This window comes from Homo sapiens, chromosome 2, assembly GCF_000001405.40.
Source record: "Homo sapiens chromosome 2, GRCh38.p14 Primary Assembly".
Lineage (NCBI taxonomy): Eukaryota > Metazoa > Chordata > Mammalia > Primates > Hominidae > Homo > Homo sapiens.
Window position 1 is genome coordinate 102,240,086 of NC_000002.12, and position 14,899 is coordinate 102,254,984.

Consider the following 14,899-nt stretch of genomic DNA (forward strand, 5'->3'; position numbering starts at 1 on the left):
AAATCATCTGACAATTAGCTTGTCAACATTCAAATATTTTTCACCTTAAATCCACTACCTTCGTGGTGTGGTCCACTGAAAAGTTGGGCAAAACCCAACCTGTGATTGAGGCTATAGAGAAACATGAGGGTCATGCACAATAGCTTTTTTTCCCCACACTTAGTAGATGGACTGTTTCTCAGTCTGACAGCCACCAAAGCTTTATGTCCTGATGAATATTTTCGTCCTCTCATCCTCTCTGATGGCCTCATTTCTCCAAATTTCTTCTTCTCCTCCTTTTTTTTTTTTTTTTTTTTTTTTTTTGAGACAGAGTTTCGCTTTTGTCACCGAGGCTGGGATTACAAGCATGAGCCACCGAGCCCGGTCAAGGCTTTCATATTTTTAAAACTTTGAAGTACAGTGAGAAACATAATTTAGTAAGCAACTCAGTATGCACACACGGAATGGAAAAAGCTCTGTTCTATGTTATTTGTTCTATTTTGTTCAAGTCTAGCTCAATTTTTCAAAATGCTGGTCACAGCTCGCCAACTTGTTTTAATAACCAACTTATGCCTTTCCACTGCAATCTGGAGAGCTCAGCCTCTCAGGCTGCTGGTCCCCCTGTCAATCACGATACTTTGGCTACTTTGCTTTCTTCAATCAACAAGGCTTTATCAAGAACTTATGGCTCTTTTAATTATCTGACTTCCTGGTCAATCAGCTTTGTTTGTGGTTTTAAATGACCACAGGATAGTAGAAGTGAACATAATTTCCTGCCTGTGTAAAAGGATGACATCAAGAGGAAAAGAAAGCAGCTCACTGGGTGAAGGACCTTGAGAAAGAGATGAACATTTCCTCTCTTGAGACACAGGACAAACAAGGTCACGCCTGAGCTCGGCAAACAAGGACTTCGGTGCCTGCCTACGGCGCCATTGCGCCCTCTAGTGGCTGCTGAGGAACCGCTGTCCAGCCCGAAGCTCACAGAGCCCCGTTCAGGCTGCCGCAACCTACCTAGGCGGCCAGAATGGAGACTTACAGGTGGGCGGGCATCCCGGGGTGCACACATTACCTTCTCGGGGCTCTCCAACTTAAGGCCAAGGATATCTTTCTTCTTTTTCGGCTGCTGAGAAGGTGGAGATAGTGCCATTTTCGAATGTGTTCCTAACTCTTGGGCTTCTGAGACTGTCGCAGTCTGTCCAAGGGTGGTGAGTGGGGATCAGCAGGCCCTGTTTACTATGTGCTCGCAAGAGGGGACTGCGGTCATAGGGATTTCAGAGAGGTGGCCCTGGCGTCGGGCCCCTGGACTCCAGTCACAACTCAACCACTTGCTGAGGGAGTATGCTAGCTAAATCCCTCTTGCAAGTCAAAAACCCTGTGCCCCAGTTTCTTCCTCTGTAAAAAAGGGATAATACAATGTTGGTATCCTTATTGCCCACTACAAAAAGGGCCAGAGAATATGAACAGGACATTTACAAAGTAAGGATTAATTCGTACAAAAGCCCGGTGAACGGAAAATGTGTGTAACATCACAAATGATCTGATGCCGCCAGGTAGGGGGGCATTTACCATGTGCCAGACAGACCCTAAGCTAAGCTCTTTAAGTACATTATCTCATTAACAGTCAATTATCCTATATCCTCTCCATTTTAAAATGAAGAAAGTAAGTGTGTAAGAGATTAGATAACCCACCCAGGGGTAACACAGTTGTTAGACATGGCCCCAGGGAAGTGTATCACCGGCTGGGTATTTCACGATGTTACAGCATTCCTTTTAAATTGTTAGGCATGATAATGGTAGCATTGTTATGTTTCTAAAAGCATCTTATGTGTTAGAGGTGACATACTGAAACATTTGTGAATGAAATACTATGATGTCTCGGATTTACTTCAAAATAATCCAGTGCAGGGAGTGGTGGAGGACATGAGTTTGTGAAACAAGACTGCCCATGAGTGAAGTTCATTCATGAAAACATAGAGCAGTTAAAAAAATTTTTAAAAACAAAGAAACTCGCAACCCTCAGACACTTACGCAAGTCTGCTGTGAAATAAGACATCCTGGCTATTCTGAAGAGCCGGATGAAACTAAGGATGGAGATTTTTGTTTTGCTTTCAAAATATAAACAGCTTTTTCCTCCCTGATTATTTGCTCATTGGGTAAATTTATGAAAACAGGAAGTTATAAAAATATTCATTATCCTTTTGGTGTATATATGAATATTCACATAGATTTGATCTTGCAATACCAATCTTAGATTTATGAATTGCGTTAGTCAGGGTTTTCTAGAGAAACAGAATCAATATGACTTTTATATATATACAAAATTAAGAACTGTCTCCCATGATCATGGAGGCTGAGAAGGCCCACAATCCACTCTCTGTGGGCTGGAGACCCAGGAAGGCCAGTGAAATATTTCTTTAGTTGGAGTCCAACACCCTGAGAACCAGTGGCGCTGATGATATAAATCCCGGTCTGAAGGCAGAAGATGAGATGGTTCAGCTCAAGCAGTGAGTGAGGCAGATCTTGAAAAGGGGTGGAGAAGAATTCCTCCTTCTTCTGCTTTTTGTTCTATTCAGGCCTTGAAGGGATTTGGATGATGCCCACCTGCTCTGGGGAAGGCTCACTGTCTTACTGAGTCCATTGATTCCTGCGCTAATCTCCGCTGAAACACCCTTACAGACACGTCCATAAATAATGTTTAATCTGGGCATCCTTCAGCCCAGGCAAGTTGACATATAAGGTAAACCATCACATGGATGTTTAGGTTTGTTCTATTTGTTACTTTTACAAACAAAGTGCATTCATCTGATCATTTGCCTTAGATAAATTACTGGAAATAGAAGAATTTATCTTTTAAATAGATCTATTTATATCTGATCATTTGATGCATTCTTCCAAATTTCCCTCCAGAAAGCTTGTACCAGTTGTGACTCCCACCAATGCTGGCTGAAGATGTCAGAAAGCAAAACCTATTCTAAGGTGTCCCAGGCTCAAGCCTGAGTTCCTAGTTTGGTAATGACACTGGGGAATTTCTTGTTTTATATATTTTTTGTGCATTTCAAAAGAAATGATCAAGAAGCTGTGATGGGATGTTTTTGGTCTTGAAGGACCTAGTAATACACTTCTCTGTTTCAAGGTGTGGCTGTGCAATTCCCAGCCCCACTAGTCCCCTGTCTTGTATGTTTATCCATTGTACCTTCTCTGCTGCTGGTGATTCTCAGTAGGGCACGTTCTCAAGCAGGCCTCCCTAGGGGTGGATGGTGCCATTGCTTCCATCCAGTTGGATGGATCCTAAAAACTTAACAGGCCATAACACAGGGGTGGAGAAAGCTCAGAGCTCCAAACAAAAGGGGAGAACCATCTGGCCTTTCCCAGTACCTACTCTAGTAGAGCAGGTTAATTAAAAACAGAAGCAACCATAAGACCTGACTGGTGTTATCTCTTTTCCCAGCCCCAACCAAGGCAAAACAACAAAAAAAGCCCATACTGAGACTCAGGGTCTTTTGTGTTTATGATTCCCATGTGTGTGGTCCCAGAGAGAAAGAGGTTGGAGGAGGCAGGGGCTTGAGGTCAGCAGGCTGCAGTGGAGAGCTGCTTTCCTGTGAGGAGGCTGAAGTCCCCTAAAACGAAGAGAAAGCTTGGGATGTTGGGCTATTCCCGACCCTGCTTTCATGTCACTCTCTCTGATTTCATTTCACATATCACAGTTGACAGGGCATAGATACTCTCGAGACTTTTTTTTTTTTTGAGATGGAGTCTCGCTCTGTCACTCAGGCTGGAGTGCCGTGGCATAATCTCGGCTCACTGCAACCTCCACCTCCTGGGTTCAAGTGATTCTACTGCCGCAGCCTCCCAAGTAGCTGGGACTACAGGTGCATGCCACCACACTCGACTAATTTTTGTATGTTTAGTAGAGACGGGGGTTTCACCATGTTTGCCAGACTGGTCTCAAACTCCTGACCTCAGGTGATCTGCCCACCTTGGCCTCCCAAAGTCCTAGGATTACAGGCATGAGCCACCACACCAGGCTCTAGAGACATTTCTAAAGGGGATGCTTGGAATCTTGAGAAGCCTGTAGGTCTTCTTGTAGGCAATCAATTATCTGCTCATTGAAGTAAGAAAGCCAAGTACTTGATTGGGGGCAGGTGGGTGGGCAATGGTAGGACATTTACTCCCAGACCCCATGCTTGAAAATCAATTCTCTTTCCAGTTTTCCAACTTTTCTGTTTTAAGCAACATCAGTCAGGTGTCAGAATGCCCACAAAGCTTTTCTGATTGAATGAGTAATAGGTAGGCTCTATTTTATTCTGTGTGAAAATTAAGGGTCTTTATCTCTCAGCTCTTACCATGGCCAATAAATAAATGCTTTGGAAGGTACAGCTGTGGCCTTCTCTGGAATTGAGGACCCTCAGAACACTGCTGGCACCCTAGACCTTCCACAGAGCTTGGCCCAATGAATGAATGATGGGAACTTGGACGCAAGAGCAATGGTGAGATTTGCTCGGGTCTCTCCTGCCCAAGTTAATTTGCATATCTGTTGTATGGCTTCCAAGCAAGGTAAGGACAATTTGGCCTAATTTTATTTGTATCTATAATCCAACCTAGGGGTTTGAAGGACAAATATCAAACAGTGGCAGATTTCTGTTTCAGTGTTGAGCACCGGGTGTCCCTTCAGGCCTTGTTCAAGGCAGCTCCCAAGAGTCCAGTGGGCAACCTAGTGTTAGGAGGTTGCCTGTCCCATCTCTCTAGGGTATGAGACCAAAAGATGGGCTTTGTTTGGTTTCCTGGAAACCTTGCCTCTGTGAAAGAGCATTCAGGGATCTCAAAGGACCAATCTTGTACTTCCCTCCATGCCACCTGTCTACCTTCCAAGCCAAAGGTGCATGGTAGCCACTTTAGGGGGAAATGAGAGAACTCAGGTAGTCATTTAGCCATACTATTCAAAAGTCCCAAACTGGCCTTTTGTAGTTTTGTTGTCACCTTCTGCCACTCATTGAACACATGGGCCTCCTATATAGATACAGAGGTGAGCATAGAGGCATGTCTCTGCCCTGATGGCATGCATGATCTAATAGATGGAGGAGACAGCCACAAGGAAGGGGTGGGAAGATGGCTGGGGGTAGGGGAGTGAGGAGATGCAGAGAGAGAGCAGGAGGAAAATCATGGAAGAAAGCCATTTGATGAGAGACTCTCTTTTTCTCTTTCTTTTTAAAAAATGCAACACTAGTCACAAGGGGTTATGGCTGACCTGACTGTGACACCCCCAGCCCCCACCTGAGGAAGAGGCAACAGCTCCGGCACCTGTTTCTGACCTAGGGGCCAGGTGATGGCCCGGCTCCACACCACATCAGGCCTGAGTGTGGGAAAGCGTTGCGGCCAGGAGCCATCTGGGAGCTTGAAACAGAGCTGTGCTCTCCTCTGAGCTGTCTGGTTTCAATTAAACCCATGGCTAAAACCTCCACCAGGCGTGTCCATTTGGGACATTGTTTTGGCTTATTTAGAATAAATAATCTATCGTGGTTTTCCCTTGGTACTCGGGGAAATTGTCTTCGGGTGAAACTAGCCTGAAATAAGTACTGAGATCATGCTTGGAGGTCCCGCTGGCCCGTGGGGAGGGGTGGCGGTGGCGGTGGTGCGGGGTGAAGGGAGGGTCGGTCCTGCTTTGCTGAGGACGGAGCGGCCTGGGAAAGAACGGCCTGTCTTCAGGGCTCATCCTCGCCTCGCTCTGTCTGCCCCTGAGGGTCTGTCCGCCACAACACGAACCCTGTGGATGTTCCAGGGAGGTATCTGGTAGTCTGACCTCAGTGACAAAGAAGGGACCTTACAACCCAGGCAGATGAGCAGCGTTAAGTCCCAAACCCAAGTGAGGGCTCCAGCGATTGCCCCACGTGTCCCCCAGGGAGCGCCCTGGTGTTTTTCCTTCGCTTCCTAAAGGGATTCTAAAAAGAACATGCAACCTTGATTTGTCAGGAAGCAATAAAAATGCATGCAGAGAGCTGACTGGAGCCCGGATTGTACATGCCTCCTTCTTGCCTCAGAAACACAGAGGAATGAATGAATTAAAGACACAACACTCAGCCCTAGGCTTCAGGATTGGATGGGTGAACATTTTGGGGTAGTCTTTTCTAGAGATGTGCCATCAAGGTAGGAAGAGTGTCAAATGAAATCTCACTTTATAATCACAACAGCCCCATAGACTGTTGTGGCAAGTGGAAGAGAGGTGTAGCCAGGTAATTGAGTTCAAGGCAGCATGGTAGAAACATGATTTTTTTTCCCCAAAGTCAAGCCCTTTTTTTCCATTAGGTAGAAGCTCCCTTCAGTTATTTCTGCTAGGTTTCATAGTTTTGCAGTCACTTCTGGTGCTTCGAAGAGTCATTTGGGGTTTATCAGATTCAGCTCTGGTTCATGTTAAAACTTTAATCATTTGATTCCAAGCTTTTCTTTTCCTCTACTCTGCTCATGGGAGATGGGAGCTGAGACTAGTGGGTGGAATAAAGGTGGTGATGGGCTGCTGTCACACACCTGTCCTCTTCCTCCATCTCTCCCACCTCATTTGGAGCAGTGAGAGATAAGGGAAAAAACCATGTCTACATCTTTGACTACATATGATGGCTCTGCCTGGGGTACCACAACTGCCATCCCTGCTCATTGCCCAAGGGCATCAAGTGGATGGATGGTGACACCTTCATGTCCTACAAGGGGCTCATATCTGAGGAGAGACCCTGGCAAAGGTGGGTTTTGGAGGGACCCAGCTGTGCTTTCAGGCGGCCATGCAGTGGGTGGCCTCACATGCACACCTGTGGGGCCTGTGCTGCTTTGTGCCTGGAGCTTCTAGCTCAGTTTCCCACCACAGTCTACCTTCAGGTCTGCAGGTGCGCTGGGGCTCCATTTCCCTACTTTCTTAGGAATCAGAACCTCTGGTGGCATGTGCCCAACTTTGAGGGGAGCATGCATTCATGGCCCACTCCATTGGGCAGGGCCTCACCACACCACCTCTTCTCAAGTCTACTTTTCTCTAGTTCAGGGACTCAGGGACAGACAGTACAGTGAATCTACCAGCTAATCAGGTGCACAGCAGGAATCAAAATCCAGTCCCACTTTATTGATGGCACTCAAAGTTTTGGAATAATTCTCTTGGGGATCTCCCCTCACCCCGGTAGAGTGAGGAAGAAATAAGCTGTTTTCATGAACCAAACACAAAGGCCCAAAGACGACCCGTGAGCTCTCCTCATATGTGGAGTGGTTGTTCATTGGGGTGGGGGTGTGGGTGGGGCCAGTTCCTAGGGAACATCCCTCTCAGTGGGCTTGTGGCTGGTGCTCAGCATGTTCTGTCTTCAGCCTCAGCCTCTGCTGAAGATCTTGAACAAGAGGAAAGATACTGTGTGGCATCTGACACCATATTTTCTAAAAGAACTTCTGGAAACCAAAGAAAAAAGACAATAGAAAAATGGACAAACAATATAAACAGGAAATTCAAAGCCAGAGGACACCAAATAATCAAGACCCATAGGAGAGCCCAATCTCACTAATAATAAGGGACATGTCATTACACAATAGTTACTGCTTTATATCTTGCAGATTAGCAAAGTTTAAAGGGCCTGGCAATGTTGGTGAGGTCATGGGGCAGTAGGGATGCTTCTCTGTTGAACTTACTGCTCACTGGTAGAATCACTGTGGAGAGAGCATTTAGCCATAATGCTCATAGCTGTTCTAGGCACATAGCCTAAAGAAGCTCTCATTCATGCAAATAAGGGCATGTGCATACGAATATTTATTGATGTGTTATTTGTAACTGTGGAATTTTGGAAGCAGACTAAATATGTCTGTGGATAAGAGTACAGAGAAGCTGTGTACATCCCCCAAATCCACTATTATCTGCAGTTTAAAAAGAATGAACTTCAGATACATGTATGAACATGGGTAAACTTCAAGCCATGTTGATAAAAAGTTTCAGAATAATATGCACAATATTTATATTAGTTATATATAGCAAAATATAACATACAAAACAGATTCTAAGATTGTCTCACAAGGTTACTTGTGAGTTTATCATAGTCTTATTCACTTCCAGCTTTAATGTAGGATGCTTTTGTTACCTTATTCTGGGCTCAAGCTTTTGGGAACAGCTTATATCTGAAACACCAAAGGCCATTGATTCTATGTCCCAAATAAAAGCCTGCTATTGGCTTGAATGACAATAACAGACTTTTATTATTGACAACAATAATAAAATTGATGCCTATTGCTTGATACTGTGTCTCAGTTAGACCTGGCTTTCTATATAGGCAGTTACCTACCCAGTAACATTTTAGAGATGCTGAAAAGCTGTGTTGCTCTAAAACATCTCTGGGGGAGACCAGTCTACTACTACATACATTTCTAGAATTAAAATTTTAAAATAGTTAATGTATGCAATCAGCAAGAGTATTTTATTAATGTCTCCAACAGCTTCATTCACACACTTGCAAGGGTACATTTATTTGATTGCATTTCAATTTGATGGCTGAGATAGAAAGGAGACAAAATGGAAGCTTTGTTATAGGAAAGGAGTACAGAATTGACATTTAGTGTGGGCTGCTGTGGGAAGAAGGCATAAGTGGGCACCACTCTGGGGATGACGTTACAATGTTCTTTGGACAAAAGGACAAGGAAGGACAACTTTGAATGAATGCAGGTGTTTTGTCTAAACATATAAACAAGTCACAGCAAACTACACTCGGCATCATGAAATGGTGCTGCTGACCACTATAGGGATTCATGTTTTGTTGAGCATTTAGTATGTGCCAGGCAGTGGCTGCACAAGCCTTTACAAGAACCTTCTGAGGTATATATTGCACATTCCTATATATCAGGCTTTAGAGAGTTTTGATCGCTTTCCCTAGTACTCCATAGTATTTGAACCCAGGGCTGGCTGACTCCAAAATTCAATAAGCCATAGTGCCCCTAAGTGACAGTTTCCCTCCTACTCTATAGTTTATTCCCGGAGAATGTGTAAGTTTGTAATAGACTACACTTTGGGTATGAGCAGTACATTTTCTCACCCTTCCTTTGATTCCACTAGGAAGCTTCCTGTGTGCATTTGGCTCCTGTGAGTCCATGCCCAGGCTTGGTCAACCCTAACATGGTACAGCTTGCACAGTTTGTAGGCAGCTTTGCAACACAGGATAGATGAACCTAAATCCTCGGAGATTCTTTTCAGCTGGATTAGGTGGGAAAAATTGTCTCTCTCTTGCTCCCTCTCCTACTCTGTCTCTGAAATGTGGGTATAGCTTTGCTGGTAGCAGTCTTTCCTTCCACAAGGATAGATTTTGTTAGCGTCAAGAATGAATCATGTCAAAAGTGAAGAGTCAAGAGATAAGCAGAATCAGAGAAGGAAAGAGAGACCAAGAGAGATCTGTGACATTGTTTGAGTCCCTGGATCCTGTCATGCCTGAATTCCTTGGAACTCTGAAGTTTAGGAGTTAACTATTTCTCATTTCTGCTTAAATTTGGTTTCTGTTTCTCACAATGGAAATAATCCTAACAAATACAAGCCTCAATATGTTAGTCTTTTCCTGCAGACTTCTTTCTGATTGATATCACTGTAGCAATGTGAATTTTTCTATGAAATCATGTAAGTTTCTCTCCTTGGAAAAGAGATTAAAAAGCCATACTAGGTTTGGGGTTCCTATCATAAGTGTGTTTGGGTATAAATTATACAATGGCTCAAAAGTAACATAAAAAATTTATTTTTGGGGGCAGTGCACACTTAAGGCATGAAATCCGGCGCCTCAGTCCACTGCTGGGATGCCACTGGTGGCCATCATCTCCTCCCAGGCTCCACATCTGAGCCTTGTACAGAGCGATGTCATTGCAGACCCTGCAGTGGTTCAGCCTGCAATCTGGGCATTCTGGGTTGAGGGGGGGGCACTGAGTCCCATGCACTTTCCTGGTTTTCGGTCTGTGTCTGGGTCCCTCTTCCTTGGTCCCTGGGCAGCGTGGTGAATGAGATTCCGAAACCTGGCGTCTCCAGGCTCCTCCAGGTTACCATGCCAAGACATGGGCTTCCTGGTGATCTGTGGACCTCGTGGAGGGGTTCACGTGATACCGCGCATAGACGTTCTGGGCTGGTAGCCCTTTGAGGTACAGCTCCTGCAAGATCTGGTTCTGACGGACCTCATCCTGGATCACCTTCTCCCTGGGGTGTCCCGCCATGGCCTTGGCATTGCTCCATCGGGTTCGATGCGCTCTCTGCTCCCTTGTGCCTCTCTCCCTGGCCCCGGGCTTCTGCCTTCTCCAGGCAACGGTGTCCCACACGGTCTCCAGGCTACAGCACTCCCACAGCCCCAGCTCCTGGCGACCCAGCCCTTACCCCAACCGCCCGTGGACACCTCCAGGAAAGGGCTTCCTGTCACGGGACAGACCCGGAGGTCATGGGCATGTGGTTAGGCCTCACCTTGGCCAGTCGTTTCTCTCCCAGCGAGCAGAGGCGCTGCTTCCTCGTGCTCTCCCTTCTCTGTCTCGGGCCTGCAGTTTGCTCCGTGGTTCCAGACCAAGGCCCACGGGGAAGCCATTGCCAAATGCAGAGGCTGGCGCGGCTGGCTGAGCAGGCAGCGGAGGCCGAGGGTGGGTGTCCGTGGTCCTGCGTCCCCGTGTCCACAGCCAGGCCGCGGGGACCCTAGGGTCCGCTCCTTCGCTGCCCGAGCACGGTGCCTGCAGGGGCCCCTCCGTGGGGTCGTGGATCGTCAGGGCCGCGTGGGTGGCTGGGCGGGGGCGGGCTGTAGGCAGCTTCTAAAAGCAGGGGCTGGGCGGGGGCGTGGGGGGATAGGGAGGGACGTAGTGGAAGTTGGGGCCCCAACGGACATGAGGGCGGCAGATGCAGATCTTATGAAGATTCAGGCAGGAAGAGCTCGGCAGGGCGATGCCCAAGACGGGGTAGTGGACGGGGACGAATTGGTTCAGAGACGGGTAGCAGATGGGGCAGAAGGACGAGTAGGTGGGCTGGAACAGGAGCGTAGTCTGCGGGTCCAGAAACGGGGGACGGATGGGAGGAAAGAAGAGCCGACTGCCAGGGAGCTGCGGGGTGGCGCCGAGCGGGCGCCGGGGTTGGGAGGCGGAGAGGCGGGGCAGCTTTCGAGTCATTTTCAGCGAGTGCAAAGCTCCCTCGTCGGAACGGTCGGAGTGCGCGGCGAGCGCGGGGCCTGCGCGGCTTTTATCTCCTCAGGGCGTTCCAGGGCGGAACGTGCTTTGTGACCTGCGCCCCCCGTGAAGCCGGGAGCCCCTCGCGAGTTGGCACAGGGCCCCGTCTCAGGGTTTAGGAGCGAACGGGGAAATGGAAGACAAAGGAAATGGGGGGACATAGCAACCCCTATTCTTGTACCCTGTAGTTTTGCCCTCAGTAGGCAAAGGCTGATCAGAGGGCTAGGATACAGTTAGAGGCCGGGGGCCTGGGGGAGCGGCTCTGAGCAGGATCTGGGAAAAGGGGACGAAGTCAGTGCCCCAGGCACCTTCCCTTAAGACAGCGCAGCGTTCAAAGCCCTTCAGTCCTTCACATCACTGCGGGAACATGCGCAATTAGACATGCTAGGTCCATTTTACCCATGGGACAGGAAGGACCAGAGAGGGAACTTCCATAGGCTGGCGGTGGTGACAAAGCAGGTGGGGCTAGAACTTGGGTCAGGAGAGGGCAGGTAGGAGGGAAGGCAAAATGCCCCAAGCGCGCACCAGCGCCTTGCCTCTCCTGCATGTCTGGACGGGGTCCTGCAGGGGGCGCGTCAGAGCAGACCTGGGCGTTTCCTAGCTTACCCTTGGTCCCCGTATTCCTTGGTTTGAAGCTTTACTCTTTAAAATACTTTTTTTAAATCTTTAAATATTTATTTTATTTCATTTTAGATTCCTGGGTACATGTGCATGTTTGTTACATGGATATATTGCATAATGGTGAGGATTTGGCTTCTAGGGTACCCATCACCAAAATATGAACATTGTACCCAATAGGTATTTTTTATCCCTCACTACCATCCCACCCTCCTCCATTTTGAAGTCCCCAATGTCTGTTACTTCCATCTTTATGTTCATATGTACTCATTGTTTAGCTCTCACTTTTAAGTGAGAACATGCAGTATTGTACTTTCTGTTTCTGAGTTATTTTACTTAGTATGATGGCCTCCAGCTCCATGATGTTGATTCAACGGACATGATTTCATTCTTTTTTATGGCTATATAGTATTCCTTACCATATTTTCTTTATCCAATCAACTGTGGCTGGACATTTAGGTTGGTTCCATGATTTTGCTATTGTGAATAGTGCTGCAATAAACATCTGAGTACAAGTGTCTTTTTTAATGTAATGATTTCATTTCCTTTGGGTAGATTCCCAATAGTAGGATTGCTGGGTCAAATGGTAGTTCTCTTTTTAGTTAATTGAGAAATCTCCACACTGTTTTCCATAGAAGTTGAACTAATTTACATCCCCACCAGCAGTGTATAAGCGTTCCTTTTTCTCTGTGTCCTTGCGTTGTTTTTTTGACTTTTTATTAACAGCCATTCTGACTGGTGCAAGATGATATCATTGTGGTTTTAATTGGCATATCTCTGATGATGAGTGATGTTTCATGTGTTTGTTGGCCGAGAAACAACTTTTAATGTATCTACTTGGCATAACCTAGCCAGACAAATGCTTTCTATAGTTATGAAAGCGGAATTAAATTTGAACCAATAAATGTCATAATCCTCTACTACTCCATCACTTCTCCCCACTCCTAGACACATAAGCTTTAGGAATAAGTGAAAGAGTGAGGGCTGATCCCTAATGAGGCAGTGTGGAGCAGATGGGCTATCAGTGGGTCTCTTCAGGCTATTGGCTGGTGCTAGAGAGGAAGGGCACACCCAGGAAGGGACTGGGGCTGTCACTGGTACACTTGGGTTGTTCTGATGGTGCTTCAAAACACAAGAACAAGCCAAGCAACCACACAAATGGGGGCTAAGCACAGCCATGCTTTGGGTTAAGCGGGCATATTGTCATCAAAGACCTCTCCACCTTTCTCTGTCCTGAAGAAGTTTGCCCAGATTGTGAGCACAGCCCGTCCTGGTTCCATCTGGGGAGTTTGGGATGCTTAGAAAATTTCCTTTTCATACCTGACATGCCCAAATAAAGAGAGATCTCTTTCTTTTTCTCTTTTTAAAAGGCCTGATTTAAAGACTGCTTAAATCAACATAGATGAATTAGATAAGTCATTATGCAACAATGCCTTTTCCATAATGACTCAATTTCTGAACATGGTGTGACTTGGTGGGTTGCGTTTTGCTCTGGTTGTTCTAAGGAGGGGAGCTTAGGGCAATGACCTGGGACAGCTCTAAGATTTTGCCTTTTCTTTTAGCTGGAACCATGTGCTAGAACTATCAGAGTATGACCAAGTTTTCCTTTTTTGCTTGGTTTGACATTGCTGCCTAAGATAAGACATACAGTACAGGCTGCAGAAACACACAAAAATTCTGCTGATAATACACACTTGTTTCTATGGCCAGGAAGCCCTGATTTGCTCACCTCCTCACCACCATGACCAGGTGTGAATTCACAGGTAAAAGGGCAAGTTTGTTTACTCCTAGTTGCTCTTGAATAGAGAGTTGACTTTTTCACCCCCTTGGCTTGTAACTGCTGAGTTCACTAATAAACCCTTCCTTTTAAAAGGGGGGAAAATAAAACTAATGAGAAAATATCATAGGAGATAAAGAAGAATCATAAGAACCCATTGTGGAAGTTCAAAAAGAAACCGTTGAAGGTCTAAAAGCTCAGAAAAATATTTAGATCACTGATGCTATAATAGATTTAAGTAAAACAGACAGGGGCCACAAAGGGTAACATTCTAGAATATTTTGAACAATAAAATTTAGTGTAAGCCACTTGAGGGCACCCTTTCTGCTCTGCATATCTCAATAGAGGCTCTACTTATAAACGTTTTTTAAAATCTCTGGGCTTTAAATTTCTTTATGCCAATTTTCAAACAGATTATTGAAATCTGACTGAAGAATAAGCTTATAAACATCCCTAGTAATATATCCATATTGTGTTTAAAAAGTATTTTTGAGTTGAGATCAATAAACTGGTTTGAAGTCTAAGGTTTCAAACATAAGTAAGACATGAATCTTGAAAATAACTCAATTAAGAAATAAGTAGAAAAGATTTCAACATAAGGCAATAAAAGATACCCTCCTTCCACAGCGAAATATCACCTTCAACCAAAGTTTCTTTTTCTTGAATCAATTTTATTATGTTTAATTTTCATATGGTGTAGGAAGGGCAAGGGAAATGGGGCATGGGAGGTCAGAGAGAACTTTCTGGAGAATGTGATCCCCACATAAAGGAATGTCGGCTGGAAACGGTGGATGGGGTGGAGGTGGATGTGGCCGAAGACCTTGTCTCACACGAAGAAGAAGCATAAAATCATGAGAAGTGTTCAGAGCCCCACAAAGACTTCAATTTCTCAAAACATGAAGTCAAGAATGAAGAGGGGACTAGAAGGTGGAGGTTGGGGTGAAGAACTCAAGAACGAGGAGAGGGAGAAGGGTGTGGGAGCCTTGAACAGGCACAGCTGGAGAAAGACTTAGTGGTATTACATTTTTAAAGATTTCTCTGCTCATAAATACTTGAAAAAAAACTTGAAAATGCAAAAAGCACAAAGAAGTCATCCCCAATCCTGGAATATAGGCATAAACACAGACTATTTTTATTTTATAATGTATTTTAACATCTGACAATACCAGCCACCTTTATCGTTATACTTTTGTCTACACTTTCTTGACTCTTTTTGTTCATTCATTAGTGTCTTAAGTTTCTATTGGTATTTTGATTTTAATTGTTTTGAATTTATGCTAACTTACAATTTTATGCCTCTCTAGAAACAGGTACTATCTCTTAATACAATATTTCTCTAATATCTCTTAA

General features: G+C 45.4%; 1 protein-coding gene and 1 pseudogene across 2 annotated transcripts in view, besides 3 other annotated features; one reads left to right on the forward strand and one right to left on the reverse strand.

Annotated features, from left to right (window-relative positions):
* IL1RL2 (interleukin 1 receptor like 2) overlaps positions 1 to 3,001 on the forward strand; it is a 56,114-nt gene extending 53,113 nt beyond the window's left edge. The window contains exon 12 of the mRNA XM_017005174.3: positions 2,553 to 3,001. Coding sequence (XP_016860663.2) covers positions 2,553 to 2,611 — 59 coding nt within the window. The 3' untranslated portion in view covers positions 2,612 to 3,001. The remainder of the gene's footprint in view (positions 1 to 2,552) is intronic.
* Positions 684 to 978: an enhancer, noted in NCBI's record as "tiled region #14071; K562 Activating DNase unmatched - State 12:CtcfO". NCBI's record gives its function as "activates a minimal TATA promoter and a strong SV40 promoter by Sharpr-MPRA in K562 cells {active_cell/tissue: K562}" and the evidence as "EXISTENCE:reporter gene assay evidence [ECO:0000049][PMID:27701403]".
* Positions 918 to 977: a silencer, noted in NCBI's record as "silent region_11829". NCBI's record gives its function as "represses an Ori minimal core promoter by ATAC-STARR-seq in GM12878 lymphoblastoid cells {active_cell/tissue: GM12878}" and the evidence as "EXISTENCE:reporter gene assay evidence [ECO:0000049][PMID:35858748]".
* Positions 3,002 to 9,634: 6,633 nt separating the features above from the next.
* CFAP144P2 (CFAP144 pseudogene 2) lies at positions 9,635 to 11,142 on the reverse strand (annotated as a pseudogene). The gene has a single exon (XR_007087162.1). The product of XR_007087162.1 is annotated as a CFAP144 pseudogene 2, transcript variant X1 (transcript).
* Positions 10,578 to 11,171: an enhancer, noted in NCBI's record as "H3K4me1 hESC enhancer chr2:102867123-102867716 (GRCh37/hg19 assembly coordinates)". NCBI's record gives its function as "activates a minimal SCP1, AML or CMV promoter by ChIP-STARR-seq in naive H9 embryonic stem cells {active_cell/tissue: H9 hESC(naive)}" and the evidence as "EXISTENCE:reporter gene assay evidence [ECO:0000049][PMID:30033119]".